The following is an 18,297-nucleotide window of genomic DNA, read 5'->3' on the forward strand; positions in this document are numbered from 1 at the left end:
ACTGGTGGGGACAGGCTGACAATCCAACTGATCACCTCCCCCCTGGTGCTCTTGGGAGAAGGGACAGGAGAGGGTGGACTTGCCCCTCTGGGCCCCCAGAGCACGTACCTGAAAGCAGCCAGGTACTCAGGATCCCCCATGGGGGGGTCCAGACCTCCAGCCCAGGCCACATTGACATTGAAGCCCTCACCGCTGCCAGCCCCTACCTGGAAAACAGGAGGCAAGAGAGACATGAGGACAGCAGAGTCCCAGAAGGGGAACACCAGTTTGTTAGAGCTGCCAGCCCAGCTCATCCAGCCTCCCCATTTCCAGGTGGGGAAGTTTAGGATCAGAGAGGCTCAGCAGTCTGCCCAGGATCACACAGCTCGTCATGACAGAGGCAGAGTAAGTGTCAGGAGGAGGTCAATGAGGCTGGAAGATGTGGCCCTGACATGCGGTTACCTCATCCACAGCCCCACTCCCCGGGAAGAAGTTGCCGTCGTCATGGCGATGCAGGGAGATGTAGAGCACACTGGGGTCTTGGTAGAAGGTTTGCTGGGTGCCGTTGCCATGGTGCACGTCCTGTGTAGGGAGACGGGCAGCGATTAGGGAAGGCAGAGAGATGGGGGCCAGGACAGGTTAGAAGGGTTTCAAGGTCAGTGGCCATTCTGAGGTCAGGACCCTAGACTGGGATCAGGAACCTGGGGTTCCTAAAGCCACACGGTCGAGTGGCCCCACGTAATCCACTGCCCGGCTCTGAACCTCGGCCTCTCTGTGCTGGACAGGGCTGGCTGTAATATGAGATCCTGAAGGAGAGGAGGTGTCCCAATCTCAGGCCAGCCCACCTGAGAGAGTAACTGTGTGGACATGGGGTTAGTGGCAAGGAGAGGGAAGGGTTCAGGGTTACACATATCAGGAACCACTCTGTCTTGCATAAAGTCATGAAGTTATGAGGAGATCAGAAACCAAGCTCGGTTACAGAGGGGCAGGTACACGAGGCCCAGCCCCATCCCTCGTAGGGAGAGCTGGGCCCTACACTCGACTCACAGGACCATGCGGGAACTCAAGTGTGCAAAGGTCCTCCACCGCTCTCAACTTCTGCTTAGAAATGTCTCTTACACAGCTGTCAGTGCAGAAGGGACATAGCTTAGCAGTTAAACGCAAGCACTCTAGAGCTAACCCGCCTGGGTTCAAATCCATCTCATGACTTACGAATGACTGTGTGTGAGTTACTTAATCTCTCTGTGCTCACTTTCATCTGTAAAGTGGGTTATAGTCAGGATTAAATCCATCATGTGTAAAACCATCAGTGTCTGGATGTGATTAGTGGTGTACTGATGTTATCTGCTATTATTCTTATCATCACTACCTGTACAGGAAATGCAGAAATTACTAGATCTGCCAAAAGAAGCCAATAGAGGTCAAAAGACAACACTCAAATGACAGCTCCTACTCGTTGCAGGGGTTTGCGATGGCTGAATGCGTTCCCACACGCCATCCCCTCTAGGCCTCCCAACTGTGATGTGGGTGTTATCTTCACCCAAATTTTACACAAGGGGAAACTGAGGCTCAGAGAGGCTACTGCAGAACTAAGACATGAAGCCGCATCTCTAACATCAGGCTCAGGGCTTTTCCCCCAGGGCTCTCGAATTGGAGGGTGCTACGGACAGGCACCTACCCAGTCTACAATGAGGATCTTGCTGGCCTTGCTCTGCTGTTGCAGCTGCCGGCAGGCGATGGCCACTGAGTTGAAGAAGCAGAAGCCCCTGGAAGGAGAGACAGGTCCTGCCAGCCCATTCTCTCCACATGCCCTCACCTCCCCAGGCCCCTGGGTTGGCCCAGCCTGAGAAAGCTCAGGGAAGAAGAGAGAATGTCCCTGAAGGAAGTTCCTGGGGGCTTGCCCCCCACCTCATCCCACCCAGGTCTTCCCTTAGCCTTACATGGCTGTTGAATGATCTGCATGGTGTCCTGGGGGCCGCACCACAGCGAAACCATTCTGGAAAAAGAAAGAATGCTTGTCAATCAACAGACAGCTCTGACCCACAGCTGCATGAACGTACCCCAAGAGTTCCAATCTCAACCTGGTTCCCAGAGCCCTCAATTTCCCCTCCAAAACCCTGTAGCAATCTCTAAGAGGAATGCGATGCCTGGGGTTCTGGGCCTGGATTCCCCACTACCCCACTCTGCTTCCTCCTTTGTGGTGTGTCCACCTTCAACCCAAACCTCCTACCTTTAGCTCACGAGAAGCCACTTTGAAGGCGAGGTCAGTGACACTGCCAGCGGCCCAGCGGGCTGCATTGGAGGAATGAAGCTCATTCCAGATGGTGTCAGTGTCCACCTGCGGGAGCCAGAGTCAGGGCCCGCATCATCCAAGGCTTCACACAGGAGCCAGGGCCCAAGGGGGTGGTCCCCACCCCACGGCCAGGACCCCAGGGGCAGGGAGCTGGGCAGACAGTGCTGCCTCCCCAGTGCCCCACCGCCCAAAGGCAAGGCCTCCTGTGTCCCCCAATCCCAGCATGACTTTTTCCCAGCTTAAGTCCCAGCACCAGCCCATTATCTGGCCAGCACTCTGCTGGCAGCATCACGCCTGCCTCCCCGGTCAGGGGAGGGGGCATGGCGTTACCTGGGCGGGACTTGGGGTTTGGGCCGGGAGGGGGTTTTAAGCCCCAGCTGACTCTGCTCAGGCCCTGCGGGACGGTCGGAGCTGGAGGGGCCGTCTGCACCACTGTCTTCCACTCAGGGCCCCTAGCCCAGGCTGGGAGGCCCCCCAAACCCAGTCCCTGGGCCTCAAGGCTAGGGAGGGGCCGGGGGGCATGATGGGGAGATGGGGAGGGCGAGGCAGACCAAGAGAGGCGAGGAAGGCAGAGAGAGTCGCAAGAGGCTGGAGAAAGAGAGAGAGAGAGAAAGACAGAGAGGGAGAGGAGGGAGGAGAAAACAGAAGCAACAACAGTTGGAAAAACCAGAAAGTGGCAAGAAATGGGAAGTTGTGAATAGGGCACTGACTGGCTCCCAAAGTCCCCCACCAGCTACAGCTCCCACTTTCCCTCCGGAATGAGGCCTCCATCCCCTGCCTCTACACACCTTGCTTGAGAAACTACTGCAGGGATAGTGTTAGGCGAGGAGAGCTGAGCCGGAGGGAGCGGGAAGCTCCCTTCACAAAGGGGTGAGGACTTAGGAAGCAAAGCTCGCGAGCGGAGTTTGGGGCTATGTCCCGGAGTGGGGAGTGCTGGGATCGCCAAGGACACCGGAAGCACCACCGTGATGTCACACCAGGCAGCCCAAGGTCTGGGGACCAGGCTGAGGTACCCCAACTTGCCACTTAAGAGCAGACAGAGCAGCCTGGCGGCCAATGCCCAGTCATGGGGGTCTTTGAAGGGAGAGATGATCCTAAGCCCCAGCCTTGGCCCTGCTCCTGAAACCTCACTCAACATCTACCAGACACCTTCTAGGGGAAGGCTTAGGCTGGACTCCGCATTCGGGGGAGACTGTGGGTCCGAGACACGCCTGTCCAAAAGGAGCTTCCTGCTGCAGGGGGCACCTCAGGAAGTCCCTGGCTCACCCTGTCTGGCAGAACCACAACAAGCAGAGGTTCTGCAGGGGCTGGGCCTGGGAGAACCACAGGGAGGAGAGCTGAGAGCCCTGGCAACGCCCCCCTGAGACCCCTGGGCACACTTACCCCAACCCCACCACAGGGCAGCATCACAAACATCCGCTGTGCCAGGAGCCCTGCGGGGAGAGGCCCAGCCCACGTCAGCGTGAATACTCTCAGCCTTTGGCCCAACAGGGAGCAGGGAGCCCAGAGAGCAGGGCCGGGTGAGTATTGGGGGAGAGAAATATGGAAGGGAGAGGTGGAGGTGGGCTGAGGAGGGGCTTGGCAGCAAGCTGGAGTAGGGACGTCCAGGGTGCAGGAGGAGGCTGGCTGGGCGGGCAGAGCCGAGACAGGAGTGCATGGGAGCTGGGTGAGGTAAGCTGGCATGGGGAGACAGGGCCACTAGGCCATTACCTGCCAGCTTCCCGTTGTCCAGTTTGAGGCGGCTGAGCGGGTTGGTGCCGTAGAGGAGCACGTGCCGCTCAGAGTGGACCGACTGCAGCTCTTCCAGGGAGGCCTTCCGGCCTCGGAGACACTGAAAAGGGGACCACAGAGCTCTGAGCTCATGCTCGCCCCTTCCCTCCCATCACCACCACCCCATGTGCCCCTCATCTCTCATGGGCCCCAGGGCCCCCCACCCCTCCCCTCCCATGACTCCTCCCTCCACCCATTCCTCGGGCCCCACCCGCGCCTCCTCACCTCACACTGGCTCCGGAGCCCCCGCTCCTGCAGCCGGGACCAGATGCTCTGGATGCGGCCGGCGTGCTCCGGGTGCCTGCTGTTGTCACCGCAGGAGCACTGGTGCTTCAGCATGACCGAGTCATAGATCAGCCCTGCAGGAGCAAGGGTCAGAGCGGGGACCCAGGGAGTCCTCACGCCCCATGGCCTTGGCTGCAGAGAACACGCCAGCACCGCCACAGCAGGCACCCACATGGAGCCGGGCGGGTACACACCCCTCACACCCACACAGGCCTGCATTTCATCCTGCCCCTACCCCAGCCCCAGCCCCTCACACCTGTCCACACACGCCCAGACACTTCCCCAGGTGGCAGCAGCCAACACATCAACACAGCTCCAGCCAACATGGCTGCCACAGAGCCACGGCCTTCCCACATGCGGACACGACTGCTGGGTGGCCCAGGACTCGAGGGCCCAGCACCAGGCCCTCAAGTGCTCAGAGCAAAGCATGAGGCCTAACGTACAGCATCTCACACACGTGTCATGAACCCAGAGAGGCTACCAAGGGGCAGCAGGAGGGAAAAGAATTCCTAGGAAACCCCCAAACCGGGAGCTAAGAAGCCCACGATGACACTGGACCATGTGATAGACAAATCCAGCTTTGGAGAAGTGACTATTTCAGTCTGACCCGTGGGAAGTCTTCAGAGGAGGGTCCTGCTCATTGCGGGTGGGAGGGTCAATTTCTGTGCGTCTAGGACACCAACGACTCTCAAAATGCTCACACCATGTGACCCAGGAATGCTACTTCTTTAGAGTGAACCTTGGGAAATAATCCCAAGCATGAGGAAAGATTTATGCATAAGGAAATTCAAATAAGCTATAATCTAAATGTCTAACTGATAAGGGATCCCTCAGTAAAAATGAAATACATTAATGAAATACTATGAGACTCTCAGTTTTAAAGACTAATTATGCCAAGAAGGATTCATAATATGTTAACTAAGTAAAGCAGGATACAAAACGTAGTTCATGTGTTCATGGCATCTGTACATGTACATATGGCCAGAACAAAGCCTGGACTGAAATACAGCAGAATTTCAGAGGGTTTACTTCTGGGTGGTGGGATACTGGTTGGTGATTTTTCTTTTCTTCTTAGGTTTTTCTGTACTCTTCAAAATGTCTAAAATACTTCTGAGCTCTTTTTACAAGCAGAGCAACAGTAATAAATATCATTTTTTAAAAGGGCTGAGTGCATTGGCAGGAGACTGGAATTCTTATCCTGGCTTGACTACCACTTGCTATTTGACCACAGGCTTGTCACCTTAGATTTCGTGAGCCTTGGTCCTCATCGGCCAAATGCAATAACCAGCTGTTCCATGTGCTCCATGGGTACTACGTGGGCCTAACAAGGCTAAGCACTCTGTGGCCTCTAAAAATGTCCCAAGTGACACCAAGACACCCACATGGACTCGTGCAGCCGAGCCCCTCCCTCCACCCGCCACCCTCCTCCCGGTCTCACCTGTGGTGAAGGGCAGGGTCCTGGCAGGGGTCTCTGAGCTGGAGAGGACTCGGGCCTGGCTGGCAGGCTCTGGGGCTGACAGTGAGGCAGGTGCGGCTGGGGAAGACTGAGCCCGGGACAGAGGCCGGTGCCCACCCTGGGCCAGAGGAAGCAGCACAGTGTCCCCGGTGCTGCCCCGGGGGAGCCGCCCAGCCAGTCGCTGCTGTTCCCAGAGCAACACCTAGGGGAAAGATGGGGCCTTGGTCTCCAGTGTTTCAGGGTCCTGCTCCCTCTACTTCTGCCTGAGGTCTTGGGAACTGCCAAGCAGGCCCCTTTCCTAGAGAGATTCCAGGATAAACCTAGACCTGCTGTCCAGTGGGGCTCTGGCCTTTGACTCTCTAAGCCCCCTGTCCCCTGCAGCCCCCTGACAGGTTTGCACCCCAGACTGACCACCCATTCCACCAGCTCCCCGGGCCCTTGGGGCTCCAAAGCCAGGAACCAGGGGAGGGGCGCTGGATCTTGTGCTGACCAGGATGTCCTCCTGTCCTGGACTATGTAACTGTTCAAGAACATGTGTGTGGCCTGTCATCATGTGTTATGGAGTAAATTATGTTCCCCACCCTCAAATTTATATGTTGAAGTCCCAACCCCCAGTACCTCTAAACATGACCTTATTCAGAGATAGGGTCTTTACAAACAGAAGTAATCAAATTAAAATGAGGTCGTTAGGGTGGGCCTTAACCCAGTATGACTATTGTCCTTATAGGAAGAGGAAATCTGAACAGGCATTCACAGAGGGAAACCACATGAAGCCACAGGAAGAAGATGACCATCCACAAGCCAAGGAGAGAGACCGGGAACAGCCCCTGCCCTCACACTCACAGCCCCCAGAAGGAACCAACTCCACCAACACCTCGATTTTGACTTCCAGCCTCCAGAACTGTGAGATGGTAAATGCCTGCTGTTTAAGGCGCCCAGCCTGTATCCCAACAGCTCCGGCAAGCTAATGCACTGGGTCTTGATTCCCACAGTGAGAGCATTCTGCTGGACACGCTGGAGCCTGGCTCCATCCCACCTCTGGCCCTAGCCACCTTTCTGGATAGAGGGGAGACATACCAGGGCAGGACTATGTGTGGCTCCAGGAAAGGACAGACTCCTTCCTGGAAAAGGGACATGCTTCACCTGAGACTGGCAAGCTGTTGTGTGTATGTGTGTGTATGGGTGTGTGAGTGTGCATGTGTGTGTGTGCCTACACCTTAGTGTGGATCCAGCACCCAGGATCTTATAGGGCAACCATGGGTCCTAGAGCTGCCTGTTGCACTGATGTCGTATCTCCCTCCCTTCCCCATCTTATGCCAGGCCCCAGAGTCTTCTGAGGACACTTTCTGAGGGGCAGGTGGGGACTGCCATACCTGAGGGTGCTGCTGGAGAGGAGCGGGGCCTCTGGCCTCAGGCTGCCCATGGCCCAGCTCCCTGTGCTCCAGGCCATCGTCCACCACCTGGCCCGGTCCCCCGCCATCTGTCTCCAGGTCTTCAGCCGAGGGTATCTGCCGCAGCCGGGGCTTCTCACTCGGCTTGGCTGACCTCTGGGGAGGGGAGAACCTGGCTGAGAAGCCATGGTGGAGCGAGGGGCATGGGGTGGGAGGTGGTGGGCTGGGCCAGGCAGCCAGTCATCTTGCTAGGACTCCAGCTGCCATGCAGCTCTGGGCCCCAAGAAGCCACATCCCCCTCTTTTGCCCTCCAGTTCCCTGCCCTTTCTAAGTACCCCTCTTCTTTTGGCCCCTAAGTCCCCAGTTAAACACTCCCTCAATACCTCCACTGCCCAATTCCTCTCACCTTGATCACCTGGACGTGAGTTTTGAGCTGCTCCAGGCGGGGCTGCATGGGGCCCGGCGGTGGGGGAGCGGTGGCACTGGGGGGCAGGGGCTCTGAGCGAGTCCGGCTCAGTGGCCAGTGGAGGCCTGACCCAGAGAGCCGCTCGGTGGTCATTAAGGACTGGGCAAAGTGGAAGGGCAAGGGCCCAAGCCCGGGCACTGGAAAGAATCGGGGGGTGGAATAAGGAGGGAACCACAGGGAGCAATGGAAGGAAGCGAGGGTATAGGGTGGGGGGCCAGGGTGCAGCAGGGCAATGCGCAGGACAGGGGGACAGAGATGGGGAGGAAGGATGGGTCCATCCCAAGCTTGGCTCTTAGCAGGGTGCAGGGACCCAGCCCCTTCCCTGAAGAAGCAGCAGACTCACCAGTCAGCAGCGGGGCATGAGAGCCTGAGGGGTCCAGGAGGAGAATGGGCTGCAGGCGAGAGGGCAAGGTGCCCCCAGCCTCGGGCTCCAAGCCATGGGGCAGGAAGAGGGGAGTGTGGGGGCTCCCCAGGATTGGCCCCCGAGGGCCCAGAGTCGGATGGGTCCTGCGGTCACTGTCAGCCTGGGGGAGAGGCGGGAGAAGTCACGGGGAAGAAGATTCCAGCAGAGAACAATGAAGATGATGGGGTGAGGCAGCAAGAAAAGGGAGTGAAAGAAGCTGGGGGGGCTTGGAGTGGGGGTGGGCACCCCAGCCACTCACCCTGGCAGGGGCGGGCAGCCCCAGAGTGATTGCGGGCAGCAAGGACACTGTCGGCAAGGCGAACGGGGCCACAGAAGTCTCCTGCAGCCGCAGCCGCTGGCCCAAGAGCGCCTGCCATAGGGAGCAGGGCGAGGGTCACCGGTCCCAGACCTCTACCCCGGCGCACCTTCCCCAGAACACCCAGGAGGCTCTGGCAGGGGCTGCCCAGACCCTGCAGCCCCAGCCCAGGTAGGGCCGCCTGCTGGAAGAAGGCTGAGCCTCAGAACTGCCCCAGGAGAGCCCAGTCTCGGCAAGGCCTTACCTCCGAGCCCAGGATGGGATTGGGGCCGTGCTCGCTGTCATTGGGGGAGCTGCACCCTGATGCGGGCGTGCTGCTACTACTTGGGGAGGAGTCTGAGGGTTGGGGAGAGAGGGAAGTGCAGTCAGAGGCCAGGGTGGGCAGGAGGGTACAGCCAGGCCGCCTGGTGCAGGAGACCCGGGAGCACCCCCTTCCTTAACGAGCACCTTTGCTTCCTGCTTTCTTTTTTTTTTTTTTTGAGACAGAGTCTTGCTCTGTTGCCCAGGCTGGAGTGCAATGGCACGATCCCGGCTCACTGCAACCTCCACCTCCTGGGTTCAAGCGATTCTCCTGGCTCAGCCTCCCAAGTAGCTGGGACTACAGGCATGCACCACCGTGCCTGGCTAATTTTTGTATTTTTAGTAGAGACAGGGTTTCACCATATTGTCCAGGCTGGTCTCAAACTCCTAACCTCAGGTGATTGACCTGCCTCAGCCTCCCAAAGTGCTGAGATTATAGGCGTGAACCACCGCGCCCGGCCTCCTGCTTTCTTCCCATCAGAGCAGGAAGAAGACAGGCCACCTTTGGCCTACAGCACCTTTGCATAATTTTTTGAAGGGTGCCCCCTTTTCTGGGAGATGTCACCTTAGCTAACAGAGCAGGGACTGGGTTTCAGCCCCAACTCCCCCGCTTCGGCAAGTGTGTGGGACACCCCCATGCAACCACGCATGGCAGTCCTAAGGAGGGGACCCCTGTCTAGGTGGGGCCTGACCCAAAGGGACAAGACCAGCCAGGTTTGAGGATGGCAACCGCACTGGCTCAGCCGGCCCTCACCTCCGAGGGTCTCTGCGGGCCGCCGCCGGAGGCTGGGGGGCGCACTCTCCTTTCGGAGCAGTGGATTCTTCCTCCGCTCCAGGGACTTCTTGGGCTTATAGCGCAGCTTCAGGTTGGGCTCAGAGACTGCAGGGAGCACCAGCGTCACTCAGGCCCCCACCACCCTTCTTTTTTCCACCCTTTAACCCCTCAGTCCCAGTCATCTCTATCGGTCAAGGAAAGAGAAGGCAGAACTAGAAAGAAGATCCTAGCCTACCGATGATCTCCTGGCCCAGCCCAGCCCGCCCACCCCTGCACACTCCTCCCCCATGTCCGAGGCCCTTCCCCCTTCCTTTGCCTGAAAGGTCCGCCTGTTTGTTCAGCTCACCTGTCTTGCGCAGAGGGAAGTGCTCTGGGGGGTCACTGGGCAGGCTGGGAACAGGAGGCAAAAAGCTGCTGAGCATGGAGCGGGTGGCTCCTTCCGTCTCCAGGGGCTCCAGGGTTCTACAGAACGAGTGCCAAGGCTGCTTCAGAGGTGTGGGGACACTGCACGGGCACTGCCCTGAGCACGGGCCCTGGGACCTGAGGGGGAGGCTGCAGCGGGCAGGGCTGGGCAATGTGGGGCTGGTAGGAATGGGGACCATCTCCAGGTGGCAGCAGTGGGCCGCCTGTCCGCTCCAGCAGCTATAGTGCAGAGCTCTGACCTAGGCATAGAAGCCAGGTGCTTGGTGCGTGGGTGAAGAGCCCACTGGGGGCTCTGTCACCTGCACTAGGAACCTGCTCTGGGAACCAGGACATTTTTGCGCTCAGGGAAAATATAAAGAGAGAAGGGGCTCATGTGCAAGAAAAAAGCCAGTAGGGTGTGTGTGTGTGTGTGTGTGTGTGTGTGTGTGTGTGTGTGAGAAGGGCTCAGGTGGGGTGGGGAGAATTTAAAGAGAGGAGGGCAGGTATCAGTTGAGAGAGGGGCTCGGGGGCATTATGTTTAGAGGAAGGGTAAGGACTGGTTGTGGCAACTGGGGAGGAAGGAGGCAAGTGTGTGTGCTCATGGCTAACACGGGGGCGGGGGTGGAGGGTGCATGTGGGGACAGGAGGGCAGGTGAGGAGGGTGTTACCTGTAGGGAATGCCGGGGCTGTTGGGATGGACTGTTCTTTCTAGGGCCGCCTGCTGTTTTTTCAGAATCACCTCCGCTAGCTTCTGCTTGACCACGCTGCTGGCTACAGCACCTGTAGGGGCAGAGTCAGGAGGGGGCTGGAGGTGGGTGGACAGGCGGCCTCGTGGCACTACCTGGCCACTGCCCTGTCCCCATCCTCAGTAGGAGGCGTCCCAGGGACTCCCTAGGCAAGAGCCAAGCCCGAGGCCCTACCCCTCCCTAGAGCCTCCAGACACCACCCCCCACCCCCACATCCCCCACACATTCACAGGCAGAGCCCAGGCAAGCAGAGGGAAAGCCTCGGCTCAGGCCCAGCTGGCTGCGGCCCTCCCACCTCACCCCTCACAAGCCACACAGGCAGCCGCAGGCACCTGGCTGGTGGGGCTGGGCTGGGCTGGGGTGGCCACCTCCTTACTTCGCTTGCTCTTGTCCTTGTGGAGAAGCTGCCGCAGCTCTTGTTCCTGGGGTCCCACCTGCAACTCGGGCATCGGCGTGTCCATGGAGAGCTGTGGGCAGGGCCGGCAGCCCAGAAAGGGACAAGGAGTTGAGGACTGAGACTGGTGTCTAGGGATGCTGAAGGCGGGGAGGCTGGGGACCAAGCTCAAGGTGGCCCCACATGCAGGGAGCTCCATCTTTACCCTCATGGGCTCCACCGAGCGCTGCTGCTGCAGGCCTGCTAGGAAGAGGTGGTGGTGCAGGCGCTGGGGACGCTGCAGGGCCAGCAATGTGGGCTCTGGTGGGGGCTCCACTGGGGGCCGCTGGCCCACCCGCAGGTCCATGGGCTGCGGCTGAGGGCCTGGTGTGTCTGCACAGGGCCTGGGGCAGCCTAGGGACAGAGAGAGGGAGCAGGGTAAACTGGAAAGTTTGTCCTCGGGGGCATGATACAGCCTGATCCCCCCTCAGCCTCCCTCAGGCTCACTTGACAATGGCAAAACACTCTCATGGGGGTTTTTCCTCACTTAATCCTGTCGTGGTCCTGCAAGGTAGGTATTATCAATTCCATTTTACTCGTGAGAAAAAAGTCACATGAACTGTGCACAGTAACACTGTATCACTGGTGGTGTTTGAACGGAGTCTTCCGACTCCACCACAGTGCTCCTCCACTAAACATGCTCCTCCCTGGGCCGGGGGCTGAGGGCTACAGTGATCTCCGATGGGCTGCAGATCCTATGGTAGGACATTCTTGGCCCTGCCTTCTCCCTCCCTTCATCCCTCCCTGGAATCAGAGGATTTGCCCAGCTGCCCTCTAATGAGTTGGGCTCAAAGGAAGCAATCAGGCAGGCAAACAGGCCCACTTTGTTCTGCCTCCAGCCCCAAGCCTCACAGGCCCTCTGGGTCGCCACCCTCCCATGCTCTATCCCCAGTCATGAGATAAAGTGATGCCTCAAGCCTACAGCCAGCCCTGACCGGCCACGTTGGGCCTGCAGAACCCTGTGCCCAGGGCAGGTTCCTCAGCTCATAGGGCCCATGTGTCCTTGGGCCTGCTCCTGGGTGCCTCCATGGCAGCTCTGGGCCTGGCATGGTCAGGATGGCAGGCACGGCTGCCTCTTCTCAAGTGTCCTCTGCACCCACACTAGGAGCACCCTGCCAAGGCTGTGGGTGCAGGGGCTATTTATAACTGGCCACCAGACTAGGGTCCATGCCAGCATAGCCAGCTGGACCAGGCTGGGCTGAGCAGCCAGAGAGGCTGAGACACTGGGAGACGGAGCTGTTGCAGCGGGCTTATCCTGGAGAAGGGGAAGTGGGTGGGGTAGGAGCAGGCCGGCCCCATGGGAGGGCACACAAGTGGAGAAGCCTTCCTGGAGAGGCCTCCTTCAGCAATTCCAACGCTGGGCATCTCCCAGTGGGGCAGCCACAGACTGTCCTCAGGGATTGGGGCTGAGGAGGGCTGGAAAGGCCTGTGGCAAAGTACCAGTCCAGGAGTCAGAAATCATAGCCTCCAGGCCCAAGCTGGCCACTCCTAACCACAATCTTTACATCTACAGCACTTGTGCATGAGCAGCTACATCAAGCCACTGGCCCCGGGGGGTAGTCATTACTATCTTGTTATCCTAAATAAGGAAACCGAGGCTCGGAGGTGAAGGGCCCTGTCCAAAGTCACCCTGCTAGGGGCAGAGCTAGCATGGGTTCTGGTCCTACCAAGGCAGGTACTCCAGTTTCCCACCAACTTTCAGGAATTCACCTCCCCTCAAGGGGCTTTCTCACTAAGCAAAGAGGGGTTTGCAGTAGGCTGTCATTAAAGGGCATTCACTCTAACATTCCCTGACTGTGACATGGACACAAGACAGGAGCCCAGCAAGGAGGTGCCCGCCATGTCCCCCGAATATCAAGAGGCCTGGAGGGACAGTGATGGCTGTGCACCCAGATGCCGCCCGCAGTAGAAAATGTATGGCTTTGATGCCCCACCCCTTGTTCACATTGCCTCCCAAGAAATCCGGATTCTCATTCGGGTTGAGTCTGGGTTTCGAATACCAAAACACTCCTGCCCCAGGAAAGGTTTCAGTCCTTCCATGTTCTGTGTCCTGGCTTCCCGGGGTGACTCCCCTGATTATGCAAGAGGGGCTTGGGGGAACCAAGGCCAGCGACCTGGACCCAAGACCAGTGGCTTCAGCCACATACGGACTGTGAGCAGACCCCCAGCAGGGGCCCTTCCCCTCACACTCTGCATGGCCACTGCCTCCACAGCAGAAGGGAATACAGGATGGGCTCTGCCTGGAGCCCTGGAAATACTTTTCGAGGTGCTTTAGCATTTGTGAGGCTCCACAATCTGGTCCTAACTTGGCTTCTCTCAACTTGGTCTGCATTTGAACATGAACCCTCCACCTTGGCCATCAGCTTCCACCTGTCACAAATCCACATCTCTTCTGTTCTCTGACCTTTTGCTCACAATGTCCCCCTGCCTGTGCTGTCCTCATCCCTACATTCTACTTTTCCAAATCCTACTCTTTGCTCAAAGCTCAGCTGGAGTCCTCCCTCATCCCTGGACCCAGCCAGCGCCTAGCATCCCTCCCTCTTTTGGACTCCAATCACATGGCTGTTCCACACCAGGATTAGTGCTCTGTGGGCAGGTACCATGTCTGAGTTAAGCTCCATAGGGCAGGGAGTTGGTTTCATGCTTTGTTTATTATTCCTAGCACCTGGAATAGTACCTAGCACATGACAGGCACTCCACAAACATAGAATCAATGAATAAATCAGTGTCTCTCCTAAAATGTCCAGGAAAGTACCCTGGCACAGAGACAGAACTCATTAATGATTCTTGAACAAATGGATAAACTCATGAATCAGTGTCCTCTCATTGGGCACTGGTCACATTATTGCATTCTATTTTTTTTCGCTTTGTATTTGTGTGTGCTTCCTCCCTAACCTGCCTGTTAGCTTTTCAACAGCCAGGACTGAAGCAAGGAGGATACCTGGGTTCCATTTCTCCCTGCTATATGGAATTATTAGGCATCAGGCTGTATATCTTGCACTCAGTAGGCCCTTGGTTGATACTGGCTACACTAAAGGAAGGGCAGACCGCGTCTAGTCCAGACCTGGCCCCATGGGCATGTCCTAAACCAAAGCAGCAGCAGGAAGTCCAGTCCTTCCCCAGGGCAGCCTAGCAGCAGAGGAGGCTCGGGCCAGCAGAGGGAGGAGGCGCAGACAGTGAGAGAACACTTCCCCTCCAGCAGAGCAGTCCTGCAAGGGCTGCCATGCCCACCTTGCAGAGCCGGTGTGAGGACCGAGTCCACACACAAGAACACACCTTGCCTGGTGCCTGACATGGGGTAGGGGTCTCAGTATAAATATTAGCTTCTTACTTTCCTTCCTGTTTCACTGCTCCCAGCAAGGACAAGACGGGCATCCTGTGTTTCCTTTTCCTGTTGTGTTTCCTAGCACTGTGCCCAGCCAGCATCCAGAGCTGCCTCTCTTACCCCGGCTCCTCGCCCCTCCCTGGAGCCGCCACCTCCTGGCTCTCTGGCAGATCAGCCAGCGACCCTGCTTCTCTAACCCCTCAGCTTCTCGCGTTCTTACAGCCTTTCCACCCCTCATCTTCCACTCCCTACCATGGACTCCCCCGGGTTTGACTCTTACCTGCGCCAGTGGGGCTGCAGTAGTGGGCACCCGGGCTCACCTGGGTCCCATCTGTAGAGAGAGAGACGGAGTGAAAGAGCTGCAGGGAGGGGTGAGGAGAGGGAGCAGGAAGGAAAGAAGGTCAAGCCAGGCCTGCTCCCTGCCACTCCAAGCTTGAGCACGCCAAAGCCTGGGACCTCCACCAGAAGCTAATCAAAACGAGAAGACCCCACCCCATTCGACTCCTCCAGTCCCCCTGCTGGTGAAAAGGGCTCCCAGCTCCCTCTTCCTCAAGTCACTCATTCTAAATGACTTGAACTCAGACTACAGCAAGAACCTAAGGAGGCCTCAGCTCACCCAGCAGTGCCCTCAGCCCTCCCTCCTGTGGTCAGATACAATCTTCCCTGGGCAGCCAAACCAGGCTCCCATCGCCCGAGGGAAAGAAGAAGGCCAAGAGGTGAGGTGGGGCCAGAGGTGGGAGAGCCTGGCTGGGGGGATGGCTGGGGGGACAGGAGGAGAAAGGGAGGAGCAGGCCTGGAGAGAGGGACCCTGGCCTGCTCAGAGCCTCCCAGGTGGGAGTGAAAGGAGCAGGAGGGGACACAGAGGTTTCCAGAGTGGGGGAGGGACTGGGTCATGGCCCGGAGGTCAAGTCAGATCTGGTGGGAACTGTGAAGTGATAAGGTCAGGAGTGCACAGCCCAAGGACCCCATAGTGCAGACCCTTTTCCTCCCACTGCCCCATCCTATGTCCTGCTGCCTGTTTCCTCAGAGAAGGGACCTACTCAGCCTCTTTCCCAGATAATCTGAGATAGAAATCTTTTCTTTTGGAAATGGCTACCTCTCTCAGGCTCCTAAGCCCAGCAAGAAAACCTATAGTAGGGCCCAAGCTGGTCAGCAGCAGAAAGCCCCCAGGGGACATGGAGGCCAGCTGGGGTTGGAGAAGACAGAGATGAGTCCTGAGGCCACCTGTCCAGGACAGACACCTTTCCCTCTTGCTGTCCAGTTCAGGGTCAAGGGGACAGGAGGCCAGGAGACCCAGAGGCTGCCTGGACGGGGTACTGGGTGGACACAGAAGCGCTCTGCTGGCCAGACTTGGGGCAGAAGGGATATTTTTTGAGAAACTGCCGGGGTGCTCCTTTGGGTCTGTGTCTCAGAGGCAGCCACAGTTCCTCTTCAGAGCCGAGAAATGAGAACTTCCTGCAGGCAGGCGCTGCTGGGGGAGGGGGCAGCCTGGGCACAGGGAGACTCCCACCGACTGCCCCTCAAACCAGCCCATGCTTTGGGTAACAAAGTTCGGTCCGAAAATGCTGCTCTACCTATTTAAATTCTGCCCATCCTCTGAGGTCCAGCCCAAGTCCATCTCCTTGGGAGGCTCTCCCTGACCTCTCCCCTCTTCCTTTTCCACAGCACTCGCTCTGTGTCTACCACCTTGACACTTCATTCATCATGATCTCTGTGGTGCCCTGTGGAAGCCATGCCCATCTGCACCAAACACCTCGCAGGGCACGTGGCAGGCTCTGTTAGTAGCTGACAAATCAAATACAATGACTCTCTCCTGACAACCTGCCTGAGACACAGCATGCATATTTCTCAAGGTGGTGGGCCTCAGAGGCAAACTCCCCTCCCCACGACATGGTAACCCCCAATCCCAGGCCTTCTTAGTACCTCTTCTTTCTTCTGCAGGACCTGGTCCTCCCAGAGGTTTCTGGACTGGGCTCCAGGGTGCACTCCCAGAGACTGTGTCAGGCTGAGTCCCCTGCCTCCTGGGAATTCTGTCCCACCTCCCCAGTCCCTACCCAGGGGCTGGTCAGCAGCATTCATGCTTGGGAGCAGAGCCAGGTTCTCTGTGCCTTGCTCCCCTGGTAACCACAGATTCCGGACACCATGCACTCTCTGGATAGGAGAAAAATTAATGACCCTGAATTCTGTGGTGTGGGCTACCAGGCCCCAAAGGGATGTTTTGTGGTGATAATCCATAATATAAGGTCTGTCCAGAAAAGCTGTGTGCATGTGTGCATGCGTGTTGGCAACGGGGCTGCTTCCAATAGCAATTCCTGGAAAAAGTTCTGCTTTTCCCCCGCTCCCTGGCCCCGTGCTGAGGGCCATCAAGTTCAGAAGAGCGCAGAGCGACAGAGATTAAGACCCAGGAACAGCTCTCTTTGTGTCCTAGAGAGAGGAAAGGTATCTACTGGCACCCCGTCAGTAGCTGAACTGAAGCCAGAGCATGAACATCCTGCCTCCCAGTTCTGGCTTGAGTGTGGGACCTCTTTTCCCATCACTGCCTCTCTCCGAGGGCTGTTACTACTAATTTGGGGTCAGCCTGAAAAAAAAAAAAAAAAGAGAAGTAAATGGACCCAAGGTACCAGGAATACTGTCTAGCACAGGGCTCTTTGCCAGGTTGGAGAGCTCTTCTTTTTGGAATCCTGGCTACTCCCCTTTTCTATCTTCTTTGGAGGCAACTGCAGTCAGACTTAAGAACAGTTTACTTGGCACTGGGGCATGTGGGCCTACCAAGTCACCTTCTTAAACCAGAACACCTGATTTTACCCAGAAACCTATGGAGCCCCTGTTCCAATAGGTGCACCCCAGCCCTCAGCAACCTCCAGAGTAAACACAAACACAATTCTAAGCACCTGGAACAAACTGACCTCCCTACTGCTCCTACCTTATTGCCTCAGGCCCCAGTCTTGGTCCTCCCTCCCCAGCAGGTATGACTTTGCCTCCTAGATCTGCAAAAGGTGGATGAAAACCTGAGCCTTGCCGACCACCTGCTCTCCCAGGAGCTTCATGTCTTCAGTGGGACAAAAGGCTTCCCCAGGAGCACTGCCACCTAGAACGCCCCCCTCCCGATGCCTCCAGTGTCTTTTCTTAATTTTTTTTTTTTTTTGAGGTACGGTCTTGTTCTGATGCCCAGGCTGGAGTGCAGTGATGTGAACATGGCTCACTGCAGCGTTGACCTCCTGGGCTCAGGCAATTCTCCTGCCTCAGCCTCCAGAGTAGCTGGGACTACAGTATGCACCACGATGCCTGGCTAAATTTTTTTTGTTTTGTTTTGTTGTTTTTTTTTTTGTAGAGACGAAGTCTTCCCCTGTTGCCCAGGCTGGGCTCCTGGGCTCAAGCGATCCTCCCCGCTCATCTTCAAAGTCTTTGTTGAGGCTGTTCCCACCTCCCTGGACTCTTGATTAGCGGAAAAGGAAGCAGCAGCAAGAAGACCTAGGCCCCAGCAGCAAGAGGAAAGCAGGCAGTGGCAGAAGGCCATAGTCCTGGGTTCAGAGCTGACTCCCTTCACACCCGAGGTTGCTGTCTCTGGTTCTCCTTCCCTGACATAGGCTGGAAAAAGCTTGAGTCTCCATGGGGCTGGCAGAGAAGATGAAGGCTGGTGGTGAAATGGCTTCAGGAAGATCCAAGAACAAATAAACAGGAGAAAGAACACTGTGGTTGCCAGGCCTCCCTGACACAGAGTGGGGGCTGAGCACAGAGGATCTGCTCCTCTTCCAGGCTTTAGAGATCGTTCAGACCAACACTCTCATTTGACAGAGGAGCAAAGAGAAAGAAGGGGCTAGGTCACAGCCACCCAGCCAGCCAGTGGTCCAGCCAGGCCAGGCCAGACCAGTACAGGGGAAACCCAAAGGTCAACCCCAAATGCAGGTACTACTTCCCTGGGAAGTCACTGATCTAGGGGTTGAAAAGATGGAAATA

General features: G+C 57.2%; 1 protein-coding gene and 1 long non-coding RNA gene across 18 annotated transcripts in view, besides 1 other annotated feature; one reads left to right on the forward strand and one right to left on the reverse strand.

Moving 5' to 3' along the window:
• Positions 1-18,297, reverse strand: part of HDAC7 (histone deacetylase 7) — a 38,623-nt gene that overhangs the window by 4,882 nt on the left and 15,444 nt on the right. For 5 of the 17 annotated variants that reach the window (XM_011538481.2, NM_015401.5, XM_047428978.1 and 2 more), the window contains 20 exons: positions 14,621-14,671; positions 11,182-11,369; positions 10,959-11,049; positions 10,505-10,616; positions 9,781-9,896; positions 9,414-9,539; positions 8,604-8,695; positions 8,303-8,413; positions 7,984-8,164; positions 7,581-7,777; positions 7,157-7,330; positions 5,766-5,985; positions 4,268-4,401; positions 3,983-4,103; positions 3,656-3,705; positions 2,210-2,317; positions 1,920-1,975; positions 1,658-1,745; positions 442-561; positions 109-206 (listed from right to left, as the gene is read on the reverse strand). In XM_011538481.2, the coding sequence (XP_011536783.2) occupies positions 109-206; positions 442-561; positions 1,658-1,745; positions 1,920-1,975; positions 2,210-2,317; positions 3,656-3,705; positions 3,983-4,103; positions 4,268-4,401; positions 5,766-5,985; positions 7,157-7,330; positions 7,581-7,777; positions 7,984-8,164; positions 8,303-8,413; positions 8,604-8,695; positions 9,414-9,539; positions 9,781-9,896; positions 10,505-10,616; positions 10,959-11,049; positions 11,182-11,369; positions 14,621-14,671 (2,434 nt within the window). Of the gene's footprint in view, positions 1-108; positions 207-441; positions 562-1,657; positions 1,746-1,919; positions 1,976-2,209; positions 2,318-3,655; positions 3,706-3,982; positions 4,104-4,267; positions 5,067-5,765; positions 5,986-7,156; positions 7,331-7,580; positions 7,778-7,983; positions 8,165-8,302; positions 8,414-8,603; positions 8,696-9,413; positions 9,540-9,780; positions 9,939-10,504; positions 10,617-10,958; positions 11,050-11,181; positions 11,370-14,620; positions 14,672-16,263; positions 16,283-18,297 lie in introns of those variants that run through there. The other 12 variants (XM_047428979.1, NM_001098416.4, XM_047428981.1 and 9 more) reach the window with 8 other exon arrangements.
• Positions 9,923-10,122: a silencer, noted in NCBI's record as "silent region_4399". NCBI's record gives its function as "represses an Ori minimal core promoter by ATAC-STARR-seq in GM12878 lymphoblastoid cells {active_cell/tissue: GM12878}" and the evidence as "EXISTENCE:reporter gene assay evidence [ECO:0000049][PMID:35858748]".
• Positions 13,477-18,030, forward strand: LOC124902926 (uncharacterized). Its single transcript, XR_007063290.1, has 2 exons — positions 13,477-15,056; positions 17,672-18,030. It is a non-coding gene; the product is annotated as an uncharacterized LOC124902926 (long non-coding RNA).

This window comes from Homo sapiens, chromosome 12 (genome assembly GCF_000001405.40).
Source record: "Homo sapiens chromosome 12, GRCh38.p14 Primary Assembly".
In the NCBI taxonomy this organism is placed as follows: domain Eukaryota; kingdom Metazoa; phylum Chordata; class Mammalia; order Primates; family Hominidae; genus Homo; species Homo sapiens.